Raw genomic sequence first — 8110 nt, 5'->3', positions numbered from 1 at the left:
GTCTTGGTTCTTTATCCATCTTGTCCCCCTGCGTCTTTCAATCAGAGCATTTAGCCCATTTCCATTTAAGGTTAGTAATGGTATGTGTGGATTGGATCCTGTCGTCATGCTGTCAGCTGGTTATTTTACAGACTTGTGTATGTGGTTGGTTTTTAGCATCACTGGTCTGTGTACTTCGGTGCATTTTTGTAGTGGCTGGTGATGGTCTTTTCTTTCCATATTTAGTGCTTCATTCAGGAGCACTTGTAAGGTAGAACTGGTGATAATGAATTCTCCCAGCATTTGCTTGTCTGAAAAGGGTCTTGTTTCTCCTTCACTTATGATGCTTAATTTTGCTGGACATGAAATTCTGGGTTGAAATTTCTTTTCTTTTTTTTTAACCATTTAACTCTCTAGCTCTCATTTTAACCATTTTAACTCTCTAGCGGCCTTTAACATTGTTTCTTTCATTTTGACCTTGGAGAATCTGATGATTATATGTCTTGGGGATGATCTACTCGTGGCATATCTTACTGAAGTCCTCTGGATTTCCTGAATTTGAATGTTGGCCTGTCTGGCTAGGTTTCGGACATTCTCATGAAGGATATTCTGAAGTATGTTTTCCAAATTGGTTCCATTCTCCTCATCTCTTTCAGGTACATTAATCAGTCATAGATTTGGTCGTTTATATAATCCCATATTTCTCAGATGTTTTGTTCATTCCTTTTCCTCCATTTTTGTCTGCCTGTTTTATTTCAGAAAGCCAGTTTTCAAGCTCTGGGATTCTTTCCTCTGTTTGGTCTATTCTGCTGGGTGGTCTTGCACATGAGATGGAGCTGTTCTGACCTCAGCCCTCCTTAGTCTGCTTGCCTCTCCCAGGACCCCAGCCTGGCCACACCTGCTTACAGGGCAATATCGGGTGCCCACACACACTACAATAATTTTCATAATGCAATCACACATAATCACCATGTGACTCCATTATGAAAATTCTTGTAGTGTGCTTTTCAGCTCTATTAGGTCGGTTATGCCTTCTTTATACTTGCTATTTTGTCTGTTAGCTCCTGCAATGTTTTACAATGATTTTTAGCTCACTTGTATTGCATGACAACATACTTCTTTCACTCAGTGAACTTTGTTCCTACGCATATCCTGAACCCTGCTTGTATCATTCCAGACATCTCAGCCTCAGCCCAGTTCTGAACACTTGCTGGAGAGTTGATGCAGTCATTTGGAGGAAAGAAGGCATGCTGACTTTTTGAGTTTTCAGTGTTCTCACACAGATTCTTTCTCATCTTTATGGGCTTATCCACCTTCCATCTTTGAGGTTGCTGACCTTCGGACAGGGTATTTTCGTTTTATTGTATTTGATGATCTTGAGGGTTTCATTGTGGTATAAGGTGGATTCAACCAACTGGCTTTGTTTTTGGAGGATTTGGGGGAGGCCAATGTGCAGCTCCCAATTCCTGGACTGTGTGCTTTAACTCTAGGGAACTTGTCTTAGGCCCCAACTTTGTTCTCTGGCTCCTCGAGATTTGGAGTCCACTGCACTGAGGGGACCGAAGTGTGGCAACTGTGGCGGAATGCGAGTGGATGCAAAATTCCCTTCCTCCCTGCGGGCGTTCACCCAGTGGTGGAGGCAAGACAGCTGGGGTGTGGGCCAGGGCTCCCCTGCTGTGTGTGTGTTGCACTGGAGGTAGTGTTGGTTCAGGGTGAGCTGCTGGCCAGTGCAGACCATGGTGCCTTCTCTGTGCCCCTCAAACAAACAGTGGTCGCTCAGGGTATAAGAAGGTCCCTTTTTCTCTGCACAGCATTAGCTCAAGGGTGAGGTGCTGGCAGGGGTGGGGTTCTTGGTTCTGTGCCCACCAAGGCTCTGTCTTCAATGGCAGTTGGTGTGGGTTGGTGTGTGTGCTGCACTCCCGTGTGCTCTCAGGGCAAGTACAGCAAAACCCACATGTGTAAACACACACAGCAAAGTGATGTAGGATGTTTCCATATAAAGGGCTGCAGTATGGAGAGGTAATGTGCAGACTGGTGCGTGGCTGTTGGGGCAACCTTGCTGCAGCTCTCCACTGATCAGCTACGGTCCACTAGCACGGAAGCTATGCTGTGGGCATCCGAGAGTGCCCTGTAAGCAGGTGTGGCCAGGCTGGGGTCCTGGGAGAGGCAAGCAGACTAAGGAGTGCTGAGATCAGACCAGCCCCATCTCATGGGCAAGACTGCCCAGCAGAGATCAGGTCTCAGAGGAGAACTCCCTCAAAAGTGAACCCCCAGCACAGCATAGCTGCTTTACACAAACATGGCCAGTCTTCTTTTTTAAGCAAGTCCCCTTTTTTAAGAGGCGAACTCTGGGACCTGATCTCTGCTGGGCAATCTTGAACATGAGATGGGGCTGATCTGAGCTTAGCATTCCTAAAGTGCTGGGATAAAGTGTCTCACAAGGGCAAGTGGAGCCTAGAGAGATAGCTGTCCCTGCCCTCTGGGCTCCACATCACCTGACTTGCTGCTCCACCACTCTGCTTGTCTCCTAGGTGCTCCATCCCGGAGAGATGTGAGTTAGCAATCACTTAGCGTAATCAGCCCAGGATGGAGGGTCTGTGTTGTAAGCCCAAGCCAGGGTTCCCTCTCTGGTGATGAGCAGTGTGGGGTGTGTGGTACCCGTGGGAGATGGACTGGCTTGTTCGTTGGGTCAACTGCAGCTTATTGGAGGTGTCGATATGGCACTTAGGGTCTTTGCTCCCTTGATATTCTGAGGGTAGCAAGGGCAGTTCCACTGCAGAGACAGTGGCAGAGGGAATTTCCTTTGCTCCTGGAAGCTCTGTCCAGGGAATTGCTGAGTTGCTACTGGCTTGAAAGCTCCAATGGTGGACTGGCTGGAGACCCAGGCCAGGAGGACTTGTCCATCAAGTAGACTGTCCGGCCACTTTTCTGTCAGGCTGCTGTGGTATGCTGGGGGTCCCTCCAGTCCCTATTTGCCTTGTATTTTCCAGGGAAGATGATAGCCTGCCCCTTCCTCTGGGAGCTCTGTGCCACTGAGGTACGAACTTGTTGCCAGTATGAACACACCTATAAGATGTGACTGGAGACAAGTTGAGAAGTCTTATCTAGTCAGGAAGAACAAAAACAGGCACTGACTTAAAAAAGAAGTCTGGGCACGTTTTTCTAGAGCAGCTGTGCTATGCCGGGTGTTCACTTCCACTCCTGGTTGCCTCAGACACTCTGAAGCCCTAATGCTGAAATGGCTGAGTTGCCCCAACAGCAAAGACAACAGTCTGGTCCTCCCCCTGGGAGCTCTGACTCAGGGAGGCCTGAAACCTCTGTCGGACAGAGAACAGCAGTGAAGGCAGCTGGAGACCCTAGTTGAAAGGCTTCACCTGCTGATTAGAAATGTGGTCGGGGACTGACTTAAACAAGAGTCTGGCCACGTTTTTGTAGTGTGGCCATGCTTAGCTGAGGTTCCTCTTCCACCCCTTGTCACCTTGGGCTTTCCAAAGCCCGCAAACCAGAACGGCTAGTCACCCAAACAGCAAAGGTGGTGGCCTGCCCCTCTCTCTGGGAGCTCTGTCCCGTGAACACTTCAAATTTCTATTGGCCAAGGAATGCTGGTGGCGGTAGCTGGAGGCCCCATTTGGGAGGTCCTGTACAGTGATGTGCGACAGGGTCGGGGGCCTGCTTACAGAACCATTCTGGCCATGATTTGGTAAAGCAGCTATGCTGTGCTGTGGGATCTCTTCTGCCCCTTGTCGGTTTATACTCTCCAAAGCCCTCAGGCTGGAATGACTAAGTTGCCTGAACAGGAAAGATGGCGGCCTGCCCCATCTATTCTCTCAGAGTTCATCTTGTTTGATGGAGCTTAATTTTTAGCCTGTTAATTTTATTGTCTACATTAGACTTCTTCGGAAAGAATCTGCTATATTTTAGGTTAGATATATGAGAATTCATTGTTTTCTGTAAATAAACCTGTTCATGTCTTGTTCTCTGGAAAGAAATCTCTTTCAACTATCTGACTTTGGTCACAGTCATGTAGAGCAGTAGCCAGTCTATAATGACATAATTGAATTTCCATTTCCAGTGTTTTGTTTTTGTGTCTTACATTGTACAGTTCAGAAATGAGCATTTTATTCCCAATTGTCAAAATGCTAAGCTGTCCACTGTACTGAAATACTGTTTTTGTTAATGCTTCGTCATTCAATTTTCTTTAAGGTGAACATTTTTATCCAACTTTTCTCAAGTCAGAGTACAGGTAAGCCCTGGCTGCCTCGAGCCACTCTCAGGGAGACCAAAACCCTTCATACATTCCAAGTTGGGGTACAAAAAAGTGGGGCCATGAAGGCTAGTCATTCAAAATAAAACAAAATTTAAAAGTATTAAGGCAAAGATTTAAAAAATTTTGCATTACATAATTTACACAAAAGCAATGCTATCGCCTACCATGTGTGAACTCGGGAGAGGACTGCGCCATTCTCCTTAGAGAGAAGTAGGGTGGCTTTTAGGAGGGCAAGGGGCTTCCTGAAACAATGCATCTCACAATATTTGGAAAGACTATTGAAAAGAAGAACATTGTACAATCAAAGTCCTTGGCGACATTGTAGAACTAGCGGGTGCTGACCCCTGAGCCACAACCACAGTTCTGGGTTTGGGGTTTGGTAAAACCACCCCAAGGACAGAGTTCTGGGGCCGGGTTTTGGAGGAACCAAGGCGCCTCCCAGGGATGGTGTGTCACTCCTGCTTGCCATGAAATGTGCACACAGGCTGTCCCCATGCCCATCCCATCCTGCTGGACAGGATGGAGGAAGTGAGGGAACAGGCAGGGTGGACAGCTGGAATTCAGGGAGAGGCAGGTGCATGCTGGGAGGTCAGGACCTGTGAGGGCTGTGGAGGCATCAGGTGGAGTGGGCTCCAGGTGCACCCTCAGTGCACAGGGCAGGTTTCAGGCCAGGCTCCCTGGACCCCGGCTGGGTGATATGGTCACTCCCTGGGGGACTGCTGTCAGACCCTGGCCACCCTCCCTGGGCAGCACCGTCCCATCCCAGAACTGGACTTTCTGAGTCCTAAAACAGGACAGTGATGCCCAGGCCTGACAGACTTGGAGGACCTGTGAAGTCCTCCATCCCTAGACCAGCCTCCCAACAGCAGGGACAGTCTCCTACTTTTACCTTCAGGGCACTGACTGATACATCACATTCTAAGGCAACCAAGGCAGAGCTGAGGACCTGTGCCAGGCTGGGAGCCAGTCCTCTCCCTAAATGGGCCTTAGAGAAGCCTCATCCCTGTCCCAGTGCACTGCAAGTTTCAGCCCAGGAGACACATAGGGAAGTGAGGACGGGGCCTCCCCACTGGCTGACCCTGGAAAAGCGGGACCTGGGAGAAGAGGGAGTGCAGGGCTGGCAGGGGATGCTCCAGGCCCATGGGGAGCTCAGGCTGCACCAAGGGGCTGCCCCTCCTGGGCTGGAGGCTGTGCCCTCTACAGTATCTGAGGAAGTCCAGTCCTGAGATGGGACAGTGCTACCCAGGGTGGGTGGCCAGCACCTGACAACAGTCTCCCAGCAAGTGACCACATCACCCGGCCAAAGTCCAAGGAGCCTGGGCCAAGACCTGCCCAGTGCGCTGAGGGTGCACCTGGAGCCCACACCACCTGACGCCCCCACAACCCTCATAGGGTCTGACCTCCCAGCATGCACCTGCCTCTCACTGAAACCAAGCTGCCCACCCTGCCTGTTCCCTGGCCTCCTCCATCCTGTGCAGACCATAGACTGTGACTATCTCTCCAACCACTCTGGCCCTTCCTTTACCTTTGTCCTGTCAGAATCTCTGAGCAAGATCTCCCAGGTCCATCCAAACACCTGCTTTGTCCACTTTTGACTGGGCCATTGAACACCACTGGGCCACCCCAGCTGTCCACAGGCTCCTTGATAACATGCATTTCTCCTGACATCTCCCAGCAGTACTCAGCAGCCCCCATTGACCAGGTCCCTGGTGACCAGATCCAGCATATCACTTCCTCCCTGACCACACCCTCACTGATTAGAGCCCCATCACCAGGCCTCACTAACTAGATTCCCGCTGCCAGGCCCACAATGACCAGGACTCCACTGACGAGGACCTTACTGACAAGGCCTCACTGGCAAGGCCTCACTGACGAGGTCCTTACTGACAAGGCCTCACTGATCAGGTTCCACCTATCATGACTCCATTGTCTGGTCCCACAGACGAAGCCCCACTGACCAGGCCTGCAGGGAACAGGCAGCCAGTGACCAGGCCCCTGCTAACCAGGACTGAGGTGACAAGATGCCCCTGACTGGGACCCTAATGACTACACCCCACTGAACAGGCACACACTGCTCAGATCCCTGCTGACCAGGTCACCCCATAGACCAGTGCTACAAAAGCCACCAATGATCAAGTCCTCTCTGACCAGGCCCCCACTGATTAAGTTCCACGGACCAGCCTGCCCTGACCAGGGCCCCACTGACAAGCGTCTCTGCTGACTAGGTCCCAAGGTCTCCACTGACCAAGTCCCACAGCCCAGGTTGGCACTGACCAGACACCAAACATTTGTCTACCACTATCAACCCACTCACCAAGACATGCACTACTAGATCCCTCTAATGAGACCCACTCTAAGCAGACCCCTGCTGACCACCCCCCACTAAATAGGCCTCACTGACAAGTCCCAACTGACTAGGTCCACTGAGCAGGCCCACACTGATCAGGCCCCTCCTAACCATATCAGAAGACCAAGAGGCAATGAGATGTTTCATATGGCAGGAGTAGGAGCAAGACAGAGAGGGGAAAGAGGTGTGACATCCTGTTAGACAACCAGATCACATGAGAACTCACTATCAGGAGATCAGCATCAAGAAGACTAACCAATGGTGAAGGATTCTCCAACCACACCACTGCCCAATGCTTCCAGGCAGAAGCCTCCTGCAGAGGCAGAACCTCTTATGAAACTTCCACTATGGCAGTGCAGAAGGAAAATATAGGCTTTGAGCCCCCACACAAGAGGCCACGATCCTCCAGACTCCAGATTAATAAGCCCACCAACAGCTCACACTCTCAGTATGGAAAAGCTACAGGCACTCAACACCAACCCAGCCCATGAGAGCAGCCATGGGGGCTACACCCTGCAAAGCCACAGGTGCACTCTCCTAGTAGAGGTTTCCCATGAGCCTCTGCCTCTGCAGCAGGTTACTCCCACCCTCCCACCACCCTACTGACAACCTACTCCTCCCCACACTATCCCTCCTTTTCCTTCTACCCCAACTCCCTCCCATCCAAGATTAAGTCACCTCTCACATGGCCCACCTCCAACATTAAGGATGACACGTGAGTTTTATAGGGACACACAGCCAACCCATATTATTCTGACCCTGATTCCCCAGAACCTCATGTCCTTCTCACAGAGCAAAACACAATCATGCCTTTTCAAAAGTTTCCAAAAGTCTTAACTCATTCCGAATGTAAAAATTTCAAAATCTCATCTGAGACAAGGTTACAGTCCCTTCTGCCAATGAGTCCCTGAATTTAAAAGGGATTTCTTTTCCTTCAAGGTAGGACAGGCATTGGGTAAGGTTTCTCAATCCAAAGGGAAGAAGTTGCCCAGAAAAATAACACAAATGCAAGTCCAAAACCCAGCAGGACAGTATTCACTCAATCTCACAGCTCCAAAATCATCAAGAGAACTCACTGTAGTGCGGACAGCATTAAGGAGATAGTATTTACTCATTTGTGAAGAATCTGCCCCCCACCCTCACCTTTCACTCCCACCCACAAAATAATCTCTCCCATTCTCCCCATACCCCTACCTCCAACACCCACTCTTCTCCATGATTAAATCACCTCCCACCAGGTCCCACCTTTAACATTCCCCACTACAATTCCACATGAGCATTGGTAGGGACACAGAACCAAATCATATTATTCTGGCTCTTGCTCCCCAAATCTTGTATCCTTGTTACACTGCAAAATACTCTGATGACTTCTCTACTGTCCCCCAATGACTTAACTCATTCCAGCATTTACTGAAATGTACAAGGACTTACAGACCCCATGCAAGTCAAAAACCCAGCAGGCCAGTCATTGAATCCTACAGCTCCAAATCATCTTTTCTGAATCTACATCTCACATC

General features: G+C 49.8%; 1 annotated feature.

Annotated features, from left to right (window-relative positions):
* Positions 5006-5505: an enhancer, noted in NCBI's record as "H3K4me1 hESC enhancer chr4:49580519-49581018 (GRCh37/hg19 assembly coordinates)". NCBI's record gives its function as "activates a minimal SCP1, AML or CMV promoter by ChIP-STARR-seq in naive H9 embryonic stem cells {active_cell/tissue: H9 hESC(naive)}" and the evidence as "EXISTENCE:reporter gene assay evidence [ECO:0000049][PMID:30033119]".

This window comes from Homo sapiens, chromosome 4, assembly GCF_000001405.40.
Source record: "Homo sapiens chromosome 4, GRCh38.p14 Primary Assembly".
NCBI classification, from domain to species: domain Eukaryota; kingdom Metazoa; phylum Chordata; class Mammalia; order Primates; family Hominidae; genus Homo; species Homo sapiens.
The sequence above is the reverse complement of the archived record's forward strand: the minus strand, read 5'-3'. Positions and strand labels throughout refer to the sequence as shown.